General features: G+C 34.8%; 1 long non-coding RNA gene across 1 annotated transcript in view; it reads right to left on the bottom strand.

Moving 5' to 3' along the window:
• Nucleotides 1–18864: 18864 nt before the first annotated feature.
• LOC107984378 (uncharacterized) overlaps nt 18865–22164 on the bottom strand; it is a 39568-nt gene continuing 36268 nt past the window's right edge. The window contains exon 3 of the long non-coding RNA XR_001748059.1: nt 18865–19019. This is a non-coding gene — a long non-coding RNA (uncharacterized LOC107984378). The remainder of the gene's footprint in view (nt 19020–22164) is intronic.

The following is a 22164-nucleotide window of genomic DNA, read 5'->3' on the forward strand; positions in this document are numbered from 1 at the left end:
AAACAAGATTTAAGTGATTAACAGTGTGAAATATAATAGTGTGCGTTTTAAACAACATTGATTTTTGCCTTTCAGATATTTATTGTCCTATGAGTTTCATACAGGTAATTTTTTTTCTTACTAACTACAGTATAATTTTCTAAAGCTCTTTTTTATTTTAAAATTTGGTCTTCCATAAAGACTAAAAAAAGGAAACTCTATTGGACATACAATTTAATTTTCACATTGATCACCTAAAGATATCTTTGCACATATTGGTACCGGTCCTTTTTTCATTCTGAGCAAAGACCATGAGTCACAATGTAGCAATATTAGGGTGACAGCTTAAAATATCTTCAGAAATCAGAGCACATTTGAGAGGAAAGTGGTACTAGTGGTAATTAAAATATGACAAAGGATATACATCAAAATAATTCTGGGCAGAGGACATATGTTTTCCAAGATAGCAGATTAGAGATTTTTAGCATGCCTCAGTTGTTGGAAATAGCAAGATAGTACAAAAAGATAAACTCTATGAGCTTTAATTCAAGAAAGAAAATGTGAATCCACTGGAGTCATGAAGGATACCCCAGATCCCAGAAAGAAGAGCATGGAAAAATTGCCCCTATGATGGCATGTGGCTGATAAGAGTGAGTGAAGAGCCAGTACATGAGAGAGGCAGAGAGCCCCCTCCTGTGACTCACTTTTCCATGGAGATCCGAGCACCCTAGGCCAAGGAAGAGCACTTTGTTTCTCCCAAGCCCTGGAGCTAACTCGGGCAGAGGCTTGGAGAGACTGAGATGGAAAGATACCAGGAAATGCTGCAGGCATTTTCTCAGACCCAGGACTGAGGCCAGGATGCCATTTTTAATTCAAGTGTATACAAAATCAGTCATTCTTAGTGTGGCGACCTGGCAGTGTGATCATACATTTCTGTCTTGGGGCAAAGACTGGGGCACTTGATTTAGATCAGGGCTGGGGCCTCTATAACCAGAACTGTAGAAAGTACTTCAGCAGTAGACACTGGAATTATGCTCTCCCTTGTCACAGGACTTGGGTGAGAGGAAAGCTATTAAGGCTGCAGTTTCTCCTGGGTGATGAGATTTGCAGCCAGAGACAGTTTGGTGTCCAGGAACAGGTCTGTGTGTGTCATTGCTATAGGCTCCAGCCTGCTCCCCTCAGGTCACAGTGCAACAGAGACCTCTCCACTCCACCCTCAGGCAGCACCCCAGGCATTCAGAGCACACGTGTCTGAACCAGAAGCTTGAAGAGCCCTACTTTTCTTGTGCAGAAAGTGTGGTATAGTGAGATCCCCTACACTTCATACCCAGGAAGATCTATAGGCATTCAAAACACATGCTCACCCAGATTGGCAGCCTGAGCCAATCTACACTTCTTGGGCAAAGATCCTGGTTCAGAAGTTCTCTCTCTGCTCCATGCTTAGGCATATCTCCAGGCTTTTGGAGTACTCACTTGCCCAGATCAGCAGCCTGAGCTGTCACACCCTCCCTGTGCAGAAATCCAGGTGCAGTGGGACTCTCTGTTCCATGCCCAACCAGATTTCCAAGCATTCAGACATCTGCTTACACAGATCAGCAGACCTAAGTCACCCATTCTTCCTATGCAGAGATTGTGGTGCAAGCAGACCTTCTCAGCTCCAAGCACAGGCAGATCTCCAAGCATCTGGAGCACCTACTCTCTGGGATTAGGAGTTTAGGCTTCTCAGCTATTCAAAGAACATGGCTCCAAGGAGGTTTCCCAGCTCTATGCCTTGGCACACTTCTGGGTGCTTGGTGGCTGCCCACTGGATTCTCCCTCAGTTCTGGTGCTTCTGCCTGCCATCAGATAATCTGTAGGTTGGCCTGCCAGATCTGGTCCTGCCCATCTTGCAGCCTACATCCCCTGGAATGAGTAGGAAGTTCAGACCTCTGTGCACTCTACATATCAGGCCATTGCCTGAGACAACAAAGAGCTTCTCCTAGTAAATAAGGATCAAGTATATACCCAACCACACTGGCCACCTCTTACCCATAAGTGGCATATACTGGCTTTTAGATCAAACTGCACAGCCCAATATAAAACCTGACAATAGACATTCATAAGTCTATAGAAGCAAAGCCAAAGGACCCTACCTGACATTATTTAGAGTCACATTCTCCTAGGGAGGAAGGGAAAGGGAAAATTAAAGAAATATCAAAACAGTAATATAATAGAAAAAGAAAAAAAAAAGAAAAGCTACTATTCACATGAAAATAGTTTTCCAACTTAGAAGTGCGAGCATCTCCGGATGTTAGAAAACCAGTGCAAGAATTCTGGTACCATGAAAAATCTGAATATAATGACACTTCCAAAAGATCACACCAACTATCCAACAATGGCCTCTAACCAAAATGGAAACTCAGAAATGACAGATAAAGAATTCAAAGAATGGACTGTAAGGAAGCTCAATAAAATTCAAGAAAATGTTGAAAATCAATACAAAGAAACTTCTAAAGCAATCCAGGAAATGAAGGGATAAACATATTAAAATTAAGTCAATCAGAGATTCAGGAATTGAAAAACTTTCTTAGGGAATTACAAACTACAATTGAAAGCTTTATCAATAGATAAGACCAAGCAGAAAAAATAATTTAAGAGCTTGAAGACTGATCTTCTGAATTTGGTCAGATGAAATATTATAAAAGTAAATTTAAAACACGGACAAAGTACTAAAGAAATATGGGATTATATAAAATGACCCAAACCTATGAATTATTGGCATTTTCAAGAGATAAGGAGGAAAGTAAATAACTTGGAAAATATGTTTGAAGAAATAATTCAATAATGTTTCTCTAATCTTGCTAGAGAGGTAAACATTCAGAGACAAGAAATCCAGAGAACACTTGTGATGTAGTATACAAAATGAACATCATTAAGGCATATAGTCACCAGACTGTCCAAAGTCAACATTAAAGAAAAAAATCAAAGGCAGCTAGAAAAAAAGCTCAGATCATGGACAAAGGGAATTTCTTCTGGCTAACAGCAGACTTCTCAGCAAAGCTTGCAAGTCAGGAGAGATTGAAAACCTATTTTCAACATTGTTGAAGACAAGAAATTGGAATTAAGAATTTCTTAATCTTACTAAAACTATAAACTCCATAAGTGAAGGAGACATAAAATCTTTCCAGCAAGTAAGTGTTAATGGAATTTTTTTATGACTAGACCAGCTTCTTCAAGAGATCCTTAAGGGAGTGCTAAACGTAGTAACAGAAGAATGATATCTGCTACCACAAAAACACACTTAGGTAAATAGCCTACTGACCCTGTAAGAAACAATACAATAGAAACAACAAAGCCACCATCTAAAAACATCATGATGGGATCAAAACATCACATATCAGTATTAACTATGAATATAAATGGTCTAAATACTCCACTGAAAAGACACAGAGCTGCAAGTTGGATTTAAAAAAAAACAACAACCATACATCTGCTGTCTACAAGAGACCAACATCACACATCATAATATTCACAGGTTCAAAGAATAGGAGAAAGATCTCTCACACAAATGAAAATCAAAAAAGAGTGGAAGTCACTCTTTTTATGTGAGATAAAAGAGACATTACACCAAACATCAACAACACTAAAAAAGGACAAAGAATAACATTACATAATGATAAAATATTCAATCCAAAAAGAATGCTTAATTATCCTAACTCCATACACACCCAATGTTAGAGTACTCAGATTCATAAAACAACCACTTCCGAACCTGAAAAAAAAATCTTAGACACACACACTGTAATAGTGGGGGACTTCAACAACCTGTTGTCAGCATTAGACAGATCACTGAGGCAGAAAACTAACAAAGAAAATATGGACTTAAGTTTGATGCTTGAACAAATGTACCTAATAGACATCTACAGAGTACTCTGTCCATCAATCCCAGAATACACATTTTTCTCAACTGCACAAAGAATATACTCCAGGACTAACCATATGCTTAGCCAAAAAGTGAGTCTCAGAATATTTAAAAATATTAAAATTGTTACAACATTCTCAGACTTCAGTGGAATAAACATATAAATCAGTACCTCAAATTAACGATCTAATATTATATCTAGAGGAAGTAGGAAAAAGGAGCAAACTAACCTCAAACCTAGAAAATAAAGAAATAACTAAAGTCAGAGCAGAACCTAATGAAATTGAGATATAGAAATTCATACAAAGAATCAATGAAAACAAAAGTTTGTTCTTTGAAAATGTTAACAAAGTTTGATAGAGTGATAGCCAGATTTAGAAAGAAAAAAAGAGAGAACATCCAAGTAAGCACAAACAGAAATGACAAGGTGACATTACAACGAATCCCACAGAAATACAAAAAATTCAGATACTATTATAAACACTTCTAAGAACACAAACCAGAAAATCTACAGACAACTGATACATTTCTGAAAAGACACATCCTCCTGAAATTAAAACCCTGAATATACCAATATTGAGGCCAGAAATTGAATCAATAAGAAAACACCTGCCAAACATAAAAAGCTCAAACCCAAATGTATTCACAGCTGAATTCACAGACATACAAAAAAGTGCTGGTGCCAACTCTGCTGAAGCTATTCCAAAAATTCAAGAAGGATGGACTCATTTCCTCATTTATTCTATGAAGTAAAGTTACCCTGATGCCACAACCAGGTAAAAACACAACGGAAAAGGAACTACAGGCTAATATCCCTGATGAACCTAGACACAAACATTTTTAAGAAAATATTAACAAACCAAATTCAGCACCACATCAAAAAGTTAATTCACCACAATCAAGTAGACTTTATTCCTGCAAGGTTGGTTGAACCTACACAAATTAATAAATGTGATTCAGAGCTAAAAACAAAAACAATATGATCACCTCAATAGATGTGATAAAAGCTTTTGATAATATCCAAAATTTCTTTATGATATAAAAACTTCAACAAATTAGGCATAGAAAGAACGGACATAAAATAATAAGACTCATCTCTGACAAACCCACAGCCAACATTATACCCAATGGCAAAAGCTGGAAGCATTCCCATTGAGAACTGAAACAAGATAAGGATGCCCACTCTCCCCACTCATTTTCAACATAGTACTAGAAGGGATGGCCAGAACATTCAGGCAAGAGAAAGAAATAAAAGACATCCAAATAGGAAAAGAAAACGTCAAACTATCTCTCAATATGAATGATATTAAATTTCCTAAATTTCATATCATTTCCTGAAATTCCCAACAGAATCTAACAAAAAGCTCCTGGAAATTATAAAGGATTTTGGTAAAATTTCAGGATACAAAATCGGTGTACAAAAATTAGTACCATTTCTATGCACAAATACTATTCAATCTGAGAGCCAAATCAAGAATTCAATTCCATTTACAATAACCACGAACAAAAAATAAATTATCGAGGAATACATCTAACTCAGAATGTGAAATATTTCTACAAGGAGAACTACAAAACATGGCTGAAAAAATCATAGATGACAATAACAAATGGAAAAACATTCTAAGCTCATGAATTGAAAGAGTGAATATTCAACATTGTTCCTTTAAAACTAACAATGTAATTCTTCAAAGAATTAGAAAAAATGATTACAAATTTCATATGGAACCAAAAAGAGCCCCAATAGCCAAAGCAATCCTAAGCAAAAAGGAAAATGCCAGACATCATGATATGGTTTGACTCTGTGTCCCCACTCAAATCTCATCTCAAATCGTAATCCCCATGTGTTAGGGGAGGGACCAGGTGGGAGGCAATTGGATCATGGGGGTGGTTCCCCCATGCTATTCTTCTGATAGTGAGTGAGTTCTCACAAGAACTGATGGTTTTAAATTATGGCATTTCCTCATGCTCACACAAACTCTCTCCTGCTGCCTTGTGAAGAGGGTAACTGCTTCCCCTTTGACTTCTGCCATGATTGTAAGTTTCATGAGGCTTCCTATCCAAGATTCCTGTGAAGCCTGTGGAACAGTGAGTCAATCAGGCTTTTTTCTTTTACAATTACCCAGTCTCAGGTAGTATTCTTTTTTGAAGTGTGAGAATGGACTAATATAGTAAATTGGTACCAGGAGTGGGGTACTGATATAAAGATACCTGTAAATGTGGAAGAAACTTTGGAACTTTGTAATTGGTAGAGGTTGGAACAGTTTGGAGGGCTCAGAAGAAGAAAGAAAGATGTGGGAAAGTTTGGAACTTCCTAGAGACTAACTGAATGGTTTTGACCAAAATATGGATAATGATGTGGACAATGAAGTACAGGCTGAGGTGATCTCAGATAGACATGAGGAATTTCTTGGGAGCTGGAGCAAAGGTCACTCTTACTATGCTTTAGCGAAGCGACTGCAGCATTTTGCCCCTGTCCTAGAGATCTGTAGAACTTCAAACTTGAGAGAGATGATTTGGAATTGGAACTTATGTATAAAAGAGAACCAGAGGATAAGGGCAGCTTGATGATGTGATAGAAAAGAAAAATTTATTTTCTAAGGAGAAATTCAAGCCAGCTGCAGAACATTTTATGTAAAAAGGAGCCAAACATTAATAACTAAGACAACGAGGAAAATGTTTCCAGGGCATGTCAGAGATTTTGGCAGCAGCCTCTCCAATCACAGGCCTGGAGACCTAGGAAGGAAAAATGATTTTATCTGCCAGGCCCAGGGCCCCCCTGCTCTGTGAAGCCTTGGGACTTGGTGCCCTGTGTCCCAGATGCTTCAGCTCCAGCTGTGGCTAAAAGGGGCCAAGGTACAGCTTGGGCCACTGCTTCAGAGGGTGCAAGCCCCAAGCCTTGGTGGCTTCGATGTAGTGTTGGGTGTGTGGGTGCACAGAAGACAAGAATTGAGGTTTGGGAACCTCCGCTTAGATTTCAGTGGATGCAGGAGCAGAGCCCTCATGGAGAACTTCTGCCAGGGCAGTGCAGAAGGGGATTGTGGGGTTGAAGCCCCCAGATGGAGTCCCTAATGAAGCACTGCCTAGGAAATCTGTGAGAAGGATGCTGCCTTCCAGACCCCAGAATGGTAGATCCACTGACAGCTCGCACCATGTGCCTGGAAAAGCTGCAGACACTCAATCCCAGTCTGTAATAGCAGCGAGGAGTGCGGCTGTAGCCTGCAAAGCCACAGGGGTGATGCTGCCCAACACTATGGTAGCTCACCTCTTGTATAAGCATGAGCAGGATGTGAGACCTGGAGTCAAATAAGATTGCTCAGGAGCTTTGACACTTAATGACTGCCCTGCTGGATTTCAGACTTTCATGGGGCCTACAGTCCCTTTGTTATGTCCAATTTCTCCCATTTGTAATGGGAACATTTGCCCAATGCCTGTACCCCCATTGTATCTAAGAAGTAACTAATTTGCTTTTGATTTTTCAGGCTCATAGGCAGAAGAGACTTGTCTTGTTTCAGATGAGACTTTGGACTGCGGGCTTTTGAGTTAATGCTGAAAGGAGTTAAAAATTTGAGGGACTGTTGGGAAGGCATATTAGTGTTTTTAAATATGAGCACATAAGATTTAGGAGGGGCCAGGAGCAGAATAACATGGTTTGGCTCTGTGTCCCCACCCAAATCTCATCTTTAATTGTAATCTCCATGTGACAAGGGAAAGACCAGGTGGGAGGTGATTGGATCATGGGGGGCAGTTGCCCCCATGCTGTTTTCCTCATAGGGAGTGAGTTCTAATGAGAGTTGATGGTTTTAAAGTTGTCACTTTCTTGTTCTAGCACACACTCTCTCCTGTCACCTTGTCAGGAAAGTGCCTGCTTCCCCTTGCCTTCAGCCATGATTGTAAGTTTCCTAAGGCATCCTAGCCATGTTTCCTATTAAGGCTGCAAAACTGTGAGTCAATTAAACCTCTTTCCTTTATAATTACCCAGTCTCAGGTAGTATTCTTTATATCAGTGTGAGAATGGACTAATATACATCCCAATATTGACTTTAAATTATACTATAGGTGACAGTAACAAAAACACTATGGTACTGGGACCAAAAAAATAGACATAGGTCCATGCAACATAATAGACAATCCAGATACAAAAGCCACATACCTACAGCCATCTGATCTTTGACAAAGTTGACAAAAATTAGCAATGGGGAAAAAACTCCCTATTCAGTATGATAACTGGTGCTGGAATAGCTGGCTAGCCATATGCAGAAAAAGGAAACTAGGCTCTGACATTTCTTCATACACACAAATTAGCTCAGGATGGTTTAAAGATTTAAATGTAAAACCTCAAATTATAAGAATCCTAGAAAACCTAGGAAACACCCTTCTGGACATTGTCCTTGGGAAAAAAAATTTATGCCTAAGTCCTCAGAAGCAATTGCAACCAAACCAAAATTGACAAGTGGGACCTAATGAAACTAAAGAGTTTCTGCACAGCAAAAGAAACCATCAACAGAGAAAACAGACAACTTACAGAATGGGAGAAAATATTTATAAAGTCTGCATCCAACAAAGGTCAAATTCCTAATGTCCGTAATGAACTTAGTCAACAAGCAATAAGCAAATAGCCCATTTAAAAGTGGGCAAAAGATGTGAACGGAATCTCTCAAAAGAAGACATTTATGCAGCCAACACACATGAAAAAAATTAAAGATCATTAATCATCAGAACAATGGAAATCAAAACCTCAATGAGATACCATCTCACACCAGTCAGAATGGCTATTAAAAAGTCAGAAAACAGTAGATCTTGCCAAGGCTATGGAGAAAAGAGAAGGCTAATACACTATTAAGGAGAAGATAAATCAGTTCAGCCACTTTGCAAAGCAGTTCAGAGACTTCTCCAAGATGTTAAAACAGAACTACTGGGTAAATATCCGAAAGGAAATACATCATCTAGCAAAAAGACACATGCACTTGTGGCACTATGCTATGTGTTCATCACAGCACTATTCACAGTAATGAAGCCGTGGAATCAACTCAGGTGCTCATCAACAGTAGATTGTACAAAGAATTGGAAGCCATTATCCTAACTGAATTAATGCTGGAACTGACAGTCACATACTGCACATTATCACTTATAAGTGGGAGCTAAACACTGGGTACTAATGGACATAAAGATGGCAACAATAGACACCGGGAACTACTAGACGGGCGCAGGCTGGGAGGTAGCCGGCTAAATGTTGAAAACCTAGGTATTGAATACAACGTTCACTACCTAGGTGACAGGATCATTCATATCCCAAACCTCAGCATTACACAATATACCCATGTAACAAACTGGCAGATGTAGCCCCTGCATTTAAAATAAAAGTTGAAATGATAAAAAGTACAAAAAAATCAAAATCAGAGTGTACTTTGGATTTATCCCAGTTTGAATTCTTATACTACCTCTTATAAGTGATCTCATTCAATATACTTCCCACCTTTCAGAGTCTGTTTTCTTATCTGAAAATGAAAATAACTGACTTATCTCATTTCTTATGACTATTAAATCATATACAGTACTTTGATTATTTCTTGACACAATGAAGGCCCTTAGCAACTAATAATTAGTGTTATCATTAGCTTTGCTATTATTGTTTCCTGAGTGCCCAGAGCAGTGCCTGACATGTGATAAAACTGCAATAATTCGTTGTTTGGTGAAAAATTTAATGAAATAATGAATACATAAACAAATCAATAAGTTATAGAAATAGCATTATAATAAATTATGTTTACATAATAGTGTGATTCTGGTAAATATCATAGAAGGACTAACAGACAAGCAAATAAATGTCCTTGGAGATAGTCAACATGGATTCACAGAAAGCATAAAATAAGAAAAATTAGTTGACTTTTAATGTAATATACCAGAAAATTAATCTGCATACATTGTCTATATATTTGAAATCTCAGAACTCATAGTTTCTATTTATTCTATTTAATCATATAAAATAGCTTTCTTTTTTTTAAATTATAAATTTTATTGTTCTGTGTTATTGGAGGTTGTATTAATTAGGATAGGCTAGGTTATGTTGCATTATAATTAACTACATAGCAAATACAAATAGTAACACAAATGGGTTTTTTATGCTCCACATGCCTGATCACAGTTATATGATAAATCAATTAATTTGTATCCCTTTAGTATTCTTTAATATTATTCCATAATATTTTTCTGTTCTTCAAAATAGTTTCTTTAAGAATCGTATTGTATTTCCTTATGTTAAGCTACTCAAATTAGTTTCTTGGGGCAGCCGTACAAATTACTACAAACTTCGTGGCTTAAAAAAACAGAACTTCATTCTTGCACTTAAGGAGGTCAGAAGTCTGAAATCAAGGTGCTGAGAGTGGTACATTTCCTATGAAATCTCTAAGAAAACATCCTTTCTTGCCTTTTTTAGATTCTGGTAGTTCCAGGCATTCCTTGGCTTGTAGAAGCATAGTTCTTATTTCTTCCTTCACCTTCACAAAGGTTTTCACATGGTCTTCTTCTCCACGTTTCTCTGCTACTCTTCTCTTACAAGGACACTTCCCACTACATTTACGGCCCACCCTAACTCAAGGTGGTCTCATCCTTAACATAGTTATATCTCTAAAAACACCTTTTCCAAATAAGGTTATATTTCCAGGTTCTTGGTCGACTTATCTGCTTGGAGTGGAGGCAGGAGGCACCATTCAAGCCACTACGGTACAATAGTTTACTAAATCTAAATATTTCTGGTTTAAATGTTAAATTTTATAAGGTACATAAAAAGATCAGAGCTGGGTGAAGATTGAATTGTGGGAGAGAAAAGCCTGGAGATAGAAAACAAATAAGAATTCAAGTACAATAATGAAAACAATTTAAACATGGGAAACTAATAATATTGGAACTAGAAGGGGGCTAAATGTGAGCCATTTAACAAAAATATTTTACAGGTTTAGAAAATGTTTGGGAAAGGCCACTAACAAAACTATCACGGAGCATAAGCATATTTGTAAACAAAGCTAACTTTTGATTTTGAATATGCCAAATTTAACTTTTAAAGAGAAATGTTGACTTTTCACTTCTGTTCACTACAGCTTTCATTATCAATGCATTTTTCTACCCGCTCTCAGTCCCTGTTCATGAATTTTGGTGAAGGTTTCTCTACATTTAGGGGCATTGAATAAAGAAGCAGAATTAATATTTTACCAATATATTCTGAACTTGAAAAATGTAGTTTCTGGCATTTTTGGATCTTTTTTTTTTTTTTTTTTTTTGATGCTTCTCTAAGTTGAGTTTCTCAAAAACTGACAATAGAATGAGGACTTGAGTTAAGTAATTCATGAAGGAAGTGCTCCCATAAGAAACTATTAGAGGAGTGAAGAAAGCAGGAGAGAGGAGAGAAATCTAAACAGTTTTTATTTTCAGCAAAATCTTACCCTCAGCTTCATCATGCTGGGGACTTCTGGCTGTAAATTTTGTTTTAGATTTAGTCCCAAATCCAAGACACTCTTGGCTAAGGACTTCTCTAGATTAGCACAAACTCAGACAATTCTGCATCTCTGCATGTATAATAAATATAATAAATGTGACTAGAATAGCTGAAAAGCAGACCTTCGAAGACAGTCACAAGTTTGAGTCTTCTATAGTTATCTCTGCAATTCTGTGACCCACTCCCCTATTATATTAACTTCACTCTGTCCTGTTAGAGTTTTCTCAAGGTGGTGATTACTCACAATTTCTGCAGAATAATTTTCAATACAATATTTAGAATGATCAGTTATATCTAGCTACCGTAGTTTATCCTGAGATGATAACTGATACTGGTTAGGTTCCTCTTCTGTCAACCATCATTGATTCCACTCACTCTACACTAGTTCTTCTATGATAAAGGAAGTTTTTCTGATGAGAAGCATTTCAATTCCTAAGCATGGCCCCAAATGAAAGTTGTAAAAAAGAGATATATTGAAAAATGAGTAGTGGTATTACTCAATAACAAATAAAAGGAAGAAAAAAAGTAAGAAAAGGTGAAAAAATAAAAGAAAAAGGAAAAAGTACAACAAAAAGATACTGAAAATGTCCATATATGAGGAAATAATGTGGTATATTTATTTCACTATATTTATGCAACAGAATAGTTTCTGTTAGTAACCATAAATGAGTTACAGCTACCTGAATAACATTAATACCATTTAATAATCTAATAAGAAGGAAATATGGGTATAACTATCTTTTTATAAAGTTCAAAAGCAAATAAAACAAAAACATGCATTTTTAGGCATATATATATGTATACATATGTGAAAAATATATACCGCCCAGAGGGGTGGTTTTGTGGGGAGGAAACAGAATTAGACTAACAAAGGTATATGTATATACATATACATAATATAGGGGTAAAGAGTTCACAAGTGTTCATTATGTTAACAAAGTGAACAAATAAGTGTAGGCCAAATATGACCCTGTATCTAGTACCAGTGATTACTGCTAATCCATTCTGTGCACCTGTTTTCCAATTAAAAATAAAAATTTTTCAGTTTAATTTATTTGAAAGCACAGCTAAGATTGAGAACCATTGCGTTATATGACCTGTAATGAAACTCAATTTATTTTTCAATCAGCTGAGGCAAATACTAATGGGGAATATTTTATTTGTGAAGGAAATGTGATTCAATATTCAAAGAAATGAGGTTTTAAAAAAATTAAATGTTTTAAAGCATGTGATTTTGCTGTATCATAAAGGCATGAAACAAAATATATAATACACTAAAAGCTTAAATTTTATCTCACAATGCCCATTCAAATGCTAAATGAAGGACTTCAACAGGAGAGAAATAATGTATCTGAGTAAAATGACTTTAACAGCCTGAAACAGAATTTGCTTCACAAAATCACGTAACCCAAGTAGTTCAATTACGTATCTAATGGAGAGTGTTTAGAAATATGAAGTTTTACCTTAAAACATGAAAAATTAAGAGGAGTTATGCATTTAATTTTCTATGGAGTTGAGGATCTTCTTAACAATGTGTAAGTTCTGTTTTAACATCCTTATTTCAACAATACAAGAACCTGATAAATCGTTTATTCACATAGACACTTTGACCACTTTAACACAAAGAAGAGCCATAGTATATTAATGTACCTGACATGAAGATAAATGACTGCAATTAGCTTTCTCATTAGTTTTAACTAACATTACTTCTTTAGCCATGACTGATTTATCTCCATTTCACTTCTCTAATACTTCAGGAAATTGTCTGTTAGACATTAAAGGCAGGTAAAGAGAGTTAATTTGAAAATCCAGACAGCAACTTTCTTTTTTCCTTTGGGTTTACTTGTGGCTGACACTCAAGGGAGGGTGCATACACACGTGCTTTTGTCATTATGCTATAGGAAAATGATCAATGATATGAAAAGTGAACATTTATGAAATGTAGTCAGAGATATATGTCACATTTAATGCGAGGAAAAAAAGCTAAAAGTTTTGAACGAGTATCTAAAGAATTCTTGAAAAATCTTGGATTGAATTTATGTTTCTGTCTCCCAACGAATTTCACTTTTGTAATAATACCACAGAGGGGAGGGATTAAATATAGGGATAGGCACATTGATAAGATAAACTAAATGAGTCCATCAAGAGTTTACAATTATTTTTGGGTGATCAGGTTGCCAAAGTGAGAACAAAAATGAAATTGTATTTTTCTTCAGATTTACAGAAAGCAATAGAACAGTAGTAGAAAGAGGACTTTGCTTTACCTCAGATCTAAGATGAAGATTCACATTTTATGTTTTTACAATGATGGCTTGTCTTACAGAAGCCTGTGAGTTTCTTCTGAAAAATTCTGTGTGTGCGTGTGATCAGAGGATAGTCTAGAGAAGAATTTTCTATTTTCTCTTCCTCATACCTCCCTCATGTGAAGGTGGTACGGGATTTGTACAATAAAGTGTTTTCAAACATGAATGTTGGAAAAGAGACAGGTTCTTTTACCTGAAAATCTGAGATCAGAGAAGCTCTCTCTGTCTCTGTGCCTAAGTAGACAATAAATGGTTTGCTTATTTAGGTACTTCAATACCAGCTTTAGCTCTAGGGTTGAGGAAACACCACCACAGAGGCAGGCAAAACAAAACAAAACATTAACAACAAAATAATCCACTTAGACTTGGAGCCTGAGGAAGAACAAGATGAACAATTAGACCAGGGCATACCCTTTGAAATAGCGCTGATAGAAGAGTCACATCTAGAATTACACATTTCTCTTAGGCAATTCTGGTTTCTTTTAGTGGAAGGAATTAGCAAAGAAAATGGTTAGGTTGGGGTGCTCACTATTGCTGAAATGACATTGTTTCCAAGACATCTCAGAGGGAAAAAGTAGAAGAAATACATGTTTTAAAGTGTGGAGTCCAAAGTGAAATTTGTAATTCAATTTGGATACTATAGTTTTTACCTCAATTTCTTTAATAGTAATTATGTCCTCTCTAGCAATGGAAGTTATTGATTCTAAAAACCATTAACATAATTTCATACTTTTCTTATTCTACTCTATGAAGAAAACAATTTCAAAATAATGATGCTTATGACAGTTTTAAGCAGTTCACATAGTTGTATACATATTATTATTATTTGCACCTTGCATAATGGTAGATTTCTAGAAAATACAATCTATCAAATGCTCTCAGCAAAAGTATTTAATAAGAAAAAAAGAAAGTATAAACGAAAGGGAGAAAGAGAAGGAGGTCATGGTCTTACCTTGAAGTAACATACTCCATAGTAAGAAAAACTTACACTCAACTAAGTATTGCACAAGGAAAAATGCAATAAGAGGATAGTAAGAAAATATAGCCAAAATACTATAGGAGAAAAAGCAAGTGGTTATGACTTGGAGTCTGGGGATATTTTTACATCATTGTGGCTTAGCATTAAAGAATGAGAAGCACTTCTAAGGTACTGAGACATCAGCACTTCTAAGAATAACTGAGACATCATTCTATACTGAAATTATTAAGTTTATAGTCAAAGTCAAACTAAATAATTTACAAAGTAAATATAATGGCACTATACCTTATTTTTGTCCTGATATTAAACATGAATTATATTATGGTAGCCTTACTTTTACTTAACTGGAGATTTAGATGGTGACTGCATTTAATTCCCATGTTTTCCACATAGAATTCATGGAAATTATTTGATATTGCTTCATGTGAGTTTCTATTTATGTCATTCTATGACTAGTTCTATAATTGTCACTCCTTACTTTCTCTATCAAAAATATTATTACATTCAAGATTGCAAAAGTAAACTGATATATTTAGAACCCATATTTTATAAGAAGTTAGGTAATACTTTGAAAGCATGAAGTTATAGACAGCAAGATGTACAAATACGTCCTTTTGAAATGATACATTCCAAAATTGTGACAGTGAAATTGAAATGTGATGAAAAATAATGTAAATGATTGATTCTTAAGGCACAGACATTAATGATTCACAATGAGCTCTATAATTCACAGAACTCAATGATATGCAGAAAACAAATATATGGTAGGTGTATAATTTCCTCTTCCAAGGAAGATAAGACCTATACATCAAAGTGATTCACCCCAAAATAACAAATTAAGATAGCATTTTGTTGTATTAAAAATGTAATGTATGCTTTCTGAAATGATTTTCTTCTTTGATAAATATATATCTAGCAAAAACCAAAATGTGTGAAGTTTTATGTATAATAACAGAACTCCAATTTCGGTCTCTAATGTTAAACCTGCAACAATAGACTCCATTATTCTAAATTACACTTCCATACATAAGGCATTTATACCTACTTTGGTATGGCATAATAGAATGATGTTAGTCATTTATTTCTGATTCTTTCTTTCACATATTAATGAATGATTTCAATGATTCTCTAGATTGTATCCAAGGTGATTTTAGCTACTTGTAACAGAAAATATTCCATAGTGGCTTTGACAATTGGTTTAGGTGGCTTCATGTAACAAGAATTAGAAAGAAGTCAGTTAGGTTGAGACAATCAATCATTTTATTAGGAACCCATATTCCTCTTATTTTCCCCCTTTTGATTTTTAGTAAAATGACTTATTCTCCAAAGTCACATGCTAATTGGTGTTTACCAAGCATTCATTATTCCCACCCAAAGAAGGGAAGCAGGCATATAAGGCGAAGTAAAATCGCCTTGATGACTACTTTTATTTAAAAAAAAAAATCGGGAAGTCCAGAGTTTTTTCTGAAACTACATCTAGACATCTAATACATATCTTTGGTAAAAACTATGGAAATTGGCTATACCTACCTACATTGGAGTCTTAGAAATGAAGTCTATAGTTGAGCTAACTACTATCTAAAACAAAATCTAGGTTATATAAGTAAAAAAAGGAGTACAAGGATACTCAGTAGAAAAACAAAAACAAACAAATGAACAAACAAAAAAAACACAATGCCCAAGTCAGTAACCTGAGTAATACTATGGACTCCATCAAGCTTACGTGAATGGAGAGACATGCTCTGTTGATAGATCAAAATATTTCACATGACTAATATGTGAATTACCTCCAATTTGTCCGATAAATATAATGCATACAAATTGAAATTTCAGTAAAATTGTAAGATATCACTTCACACCTGTTGGCTGTTATCAAAGGGACAAGAGATAAATGTTGGCAAAAGCGTAGAAAAAAAGGAAATTCTAGTACACTGTTGACAGAAATTTATACTAGTATATCCATTATGGAAAACAGTATAGAGGTTCCTAAGGAAATTTAAAATAGAATTACCATATGACCCAGCAATCTATCTTCTGGGTTTATCCCAAAACAGATGAAACCACCATCGTCTAAATATATCTACACTCCCATGTTCATTGCAACATTCTTCAAAATAGTCAAGATATGAAAACAACCTGAATGCTTATTGATGGAAAAATAGATAATAACACATGGTATATATAGAAAATGAACATTATTTAGCCTCAGAAAAGAAGATCTTGCCATTTGACACAGCATGCGTGAAACTGGAGGACATTGTGCTAAATGCAATAAGCCAAAAAGAGGAGAAAATTATTGCATGATTTCACTTATATTTGGAATTAAAGAGAGAGAGAGAGAGCTCAAATACACAGAGATAGAGAATGAAACAACGGTTACCGTGCGTAGAGGTTACTGTGGGTAGTGGGAGGAAATTTGGAAATGTAGGTCAAACGATAAAAAAAAAAAAGATAAGATGCACGGTCGTAGAGATCTAATGTACAACATGAGGACTAAAATTTATAACACCATTGTTTTAGGGATTTTTGTTAAATAACTAGATTTTAGCTGCTCTTGTCAAAATAATAAAAATAATTATAAGATGACATACATGCTAATCTGCTTTACTACACAGGTTGAGTACCCAAAATGCTTGCAACCAGAAACATTTCCGATTTTGATTTTTTTGGCTTTTTGGAATATTTGCATTACACATACTGATTAAGCATCCTATATCTGATCATCTGAAATAGGAAATGCTCGAAATGAGAATTTCCTTTGAGTGTCGTGTTAACACTAAAAGTTTCAGATGTGACCAGGTGCAGTGGCATGAGTCTGTAGTCCCAGGCAATCAGGAAGCTGAAGCAAGAAAATCACTTGAGCCCAAGAGTTCAGGAATGTAGTGAGCTATGATCGTGCCTGTCAGTGGCCACTGCACTACAGCCTGGACAATACAGCAATACTGTATTCCTAAAAAGAGAGAAAAAAGCCAGGCTCAATGGCTCATGCCTGTAATCCCAGTACTTTGGGTGGCTGAGATGGGAGGATAATATGAGACCAGGAGTTTGAGACCAACCAGATCAGTACAGTGAGATCCCAAAAATAAAGTTAAAAAAAAAAAAAACCAAAAATAGGCTTTAAAAAAAAGAGAGAAAGGAAAAAGTTCCAAATTTTGGAACATTTCAGATTTTGGATTTTCAGATTTGGGATGCTAAACCTGTAGTAACTATTTTTCTATCTACATGTATTTCATAACATCACGTTGTAAACCTCAAATGTACACAATAAAATTTATGTTAAAAAGTAAACTAATTCTATAGTTTATATGTGAAATGAAGGAACTCAAATTTTCTAAACTTTTCAAAAAAAATAAAGTTGGAGAACACATACTACTTTATTTTAAGAACAATCAAGTGTGAGAGTAGTAAAAAAAGTTATAAAATACTAGACCTTATAGTCAATAATAATAATTTATTGTATATTTTACAATAATTCAAAGAGTGGAATTGGAATGTTCCTAACACAAAGAAATGAGAAATGGTATCTAGATGTAATAGATACCCAAATACCTGGATTTGATAATGATACATTATATGCTTGTATGAAAACATCACATGTACACCATAAATATATGTACCTAATTATTATGAGCCCATAATTAAAAACAAAAAAATTAATTAAAAATAGCAAAAAAAGGAGTTGATAATGACACATTATATACTTGTATCAAAACATCACATGTACCCCATAAATATATATGCCTAATTATTATGAACCCATAATAATTAAAAACAAAAATTTTAATTAAAATACAGCAAAAAATAGAGGCACAGATCAATGGAACAAAATTGACTCAAAAAATGAAACCTCACATATATAGTCAATTGATTTTTGACAAAGATGTCAAGGTTGACAAGAAAGGAAGATATTTTCTATGAAAAAAATGGACATGAACATGCAAAAAAAAGTGATCTTTGATCAAATACAAGTACAACAAAAACAAAAATTAACTCAAAATCAGTGAGATCTAAATGTAAGATTAAAATGATAAAGTATCCAGAAATAAACATAGAAAAAATTGTACAATGTCTTCAGGAAAGGATTTGTTAAACAGGACATGAAAAGGTAATATATTTAAAAAAATAATAAACTTGGCTTCATTAAAACTTAAAATTTCTGCTACTAAAATATCACTGTAAATAAAGTAAAAAGGAAAGCTACAGACTGGTAGGAAATATTTTTCAAATTGTATATATGACAGAGTACTTACATCTGGGAGGGAATATTTTTCAAATTGTATATATGACAGAGTACTTACAAAATGAACTCTCGCTTCCCTTTTCCAGCTTCCAGGTTCCCATGCCTGGCAGTAGGTTTTGTAGATTGCTCTATGACAGAAAGATACAGTGGGATTAGAACATTGTTCAGAGAATTAGGCCAACTGAGGAAAGCAGAATTAATTTAACCCATAACTTAATCACCTTCATTAGAACATACTTACAAGAAACTTCAAGTTCTGATTCCTAATTAACTTCAGCCTTATTTCTCACTATCTCTCCATCAGACTACAGGTGAGGAATTACCATTAGTGCAACAATTTGAACAACTATTTTAGAACTGGATGCAAAATTTACCTATAGGTCAGTCTATCAGTGATTCAATATCCAACAGGTCTAGGGATCAACTTAATGTTATTTGTCAACCTTTGCCCTCATTTTAGAATCTGGTTCTTTTGGTACCAAAAGTATACCATCAAATTTAGGTAATTGTTGATCAGCATGCTGCAAACAAAGACATCTGAGTAATTTTCTGAAATGACTAAATGGTTTGGGATTTTATGTATACAATCACTGTTAAGAATGGGTAATAGGATCAAAGAGCTATTAAAATTCAAAGAAGGGATGAATAAATAATCATGAACTTATATTTACATTTGAAACTATAATTGTCTAACAAATTGTATAACAAATTGTACATTTGAAACTATAATTGTATAACACTGATTAAGCACCTACTATGTATCAAACATCTTGTTATTTAATTTGCACGTCTTATTTCTTTGAAGTAAACAATAAAATGTTCATTTTATCCACATATGGAAATGTAGGCCTGGGGAGAATGCAAACATTTGAGAAGATCACACAGCTATTAGAAAGTGATCTGGGATTTGAATCCAAGCATACACCTGACTCCTAAGACTCTTCTATAAACTAAAAAGTGCTTTAAAAGAGGAGATAATTTTGCATTACCTGGGGAAAGGTCAATACTGAGAAAGAAAATATAAAACAATTTGAGGCAGCATTTAGAATTTTATACCTTATGCCATATCTCATTTGGACTATATAATCCATCAACTGATATTTTGCCTATTCATAATTTAATGATTTCTATAATAGCTTTCTAACATTTATATTTTAGTAAAAAATATATAATTTTATCAAAGAAAACACAAATTATTCTATTGGCATCTACTGTTGTACGTGTAATTCATAGTAAAACCATGCTTTTAAGAATGTATAATAATTTATTGTCATGGGACTATTTTACAGAGAATCCCTAGTATAAATTTTCATTTATTTTTCACAGAAAATTTTAAATGACATGTGTTCTGAAAATGTTATCCCCTAAAGATAAATAAACACACAAAATTGATTTCTCTCTGACCATTATTTAGAGAACATGGACATTTGAGATATATGAGGAAAACTAGAAAAACTAATTTCACCACTAGCTAAATAACCTACATTGAGACTGACATAACACACTTCTCAGAATAATCCTCAGTATATGAACATTTTTTTCCCAGTTTTAAACAATATCTGTTGAAGTCAAAGGACATTATAAAGATTATAAATAGTGTGAAAAGAAACATCAAGAAACTGGCGTAAGGAAAAGTGTTCTTTCCGAATGTGTCCTGTAACCATTTTTTAATGATTTTGCACAAGACATGAACAATATTAGAGAACAAAAACGAGTAATTATTGAGTTGATCATTTAAGCATATCAGACAGTTCTTGTAGAGCACAGAGGCATACTTGGTACTGGGCTAGCAGCCTTTCACACCTCTGCTGTCCCAGGCAATCACATGTTTTGCTGCATTTAGAATAAACTGCATTTAGAAAATTTGAAAGGAAATATATATTCAGGGCCTTCAGTATTTCTGACATTACACATACTTCAGTGTAAAATTTAGCTCTCCTAATATTGCTCCAGAAATTATCTGATTTTTTATTTTTATACTGGCATTTAAATGTGTGGAATATAATTATATAGAAGCTACAAAACTATCATGATGATCAATAGAAATGTAAATAAAATGTGATTTAATGACTGTGCAAGTTGTTTCTCTTGCCTGCCTACAGAGCTGCTTTGTGTCTTACCATTCACATATAGAAGACCTGATTTTATTAATCACTATGAAATAGAATGGGCATATTTCTTCCTTCATATCTGTTTTATATACCAGTTTATAAAATCTATCCTTAAAACAACATGAGGTTTCAACATAATAACAACTTAATAGCAACTGTGGCATTTCTCCCAATTTATAGGCATGTATGCATACATTTCTCTCTCTCTCTCTCTCTATCTTTTTTTTTTTTTTTTTTTGAGAGTTTCACTTGTTCACCCAGGCTGGAGTTGCAATGGTGTGATCTGGACTCACTGCAACCTCCACCTCCCGGGCTCAAGCGATTCTTGTGCTTCAGCCTTCAGAGTTGCTGGAACTACAGTCCCGCACCACGGACGCTCAGATAATTTTTGTTTTTTTAGTAGAGACAGGGTTTCACCATGCTGACCAGGCTGGTCTCGAACTCCTGACCTCAGGTGATCCGCCTACCTCTACCTCCCAAAGTGCTGGGATTACGGATCTGAGCCACTGCACCTGGCCAGGCATATATTTTTAAAGCAAACTCTCAAGATGCTGTAGACCTGTCAGCAAAGAGTTAAACGGTTGCTGATATAGGATATACTAACGCAATATTTTTGATAACCGAACAGATCACTTCCAATATCAGATCTTACAAGAATTTCAGATTAAAATATCTATGAGTTCATTGAGATTTTTAGGACAATAACAACAGAAAAAATGCACTTATTGGCCTACTGTCCCTGTGCTCATCTCATAATTCAAACCTGAAAGAGAAAATGTCACCTTAAATTGGAAAGATTATGGTAGCCAGGTGCAAAATACATTACTTTTCTCTACTATTCCTTAATATTTATCCCTGGGAGATAAAGTTACATAAAGATAAGAAAGCAAATCCAACCAAACATGTTAAAAACAACAACAAAACTTGAAAGTATTTTGTTGTGAGGGTTATTAGTCAAGATAGAATTATTCAGATCTAATTACATTCTTTGAAATAAAATGTAAATAGAGAGAGATATGGATGAATAATTTTTAGTTTTTAAAAGTAAGAATTATTTAAAGGTTTATTGAATATTCTTAATAAGAAACCATTTTTAAAAGGACAAACTTGTTTATTGTACATTTAAAAAAATTATCACCCATATATGGTGAAAATAATGTCT

This window comes from Homo sapiens, chromosome 11 (assembly GCF_000001405.40).
Source record: "Homo sapiens chromosome 11, GRCh38.p14 Primary Assembly".
NCBI lineage: Eukaryota > Metazoa > Chordata > Mammalia > Primates > Hominidae > Homo > Homo sapiens.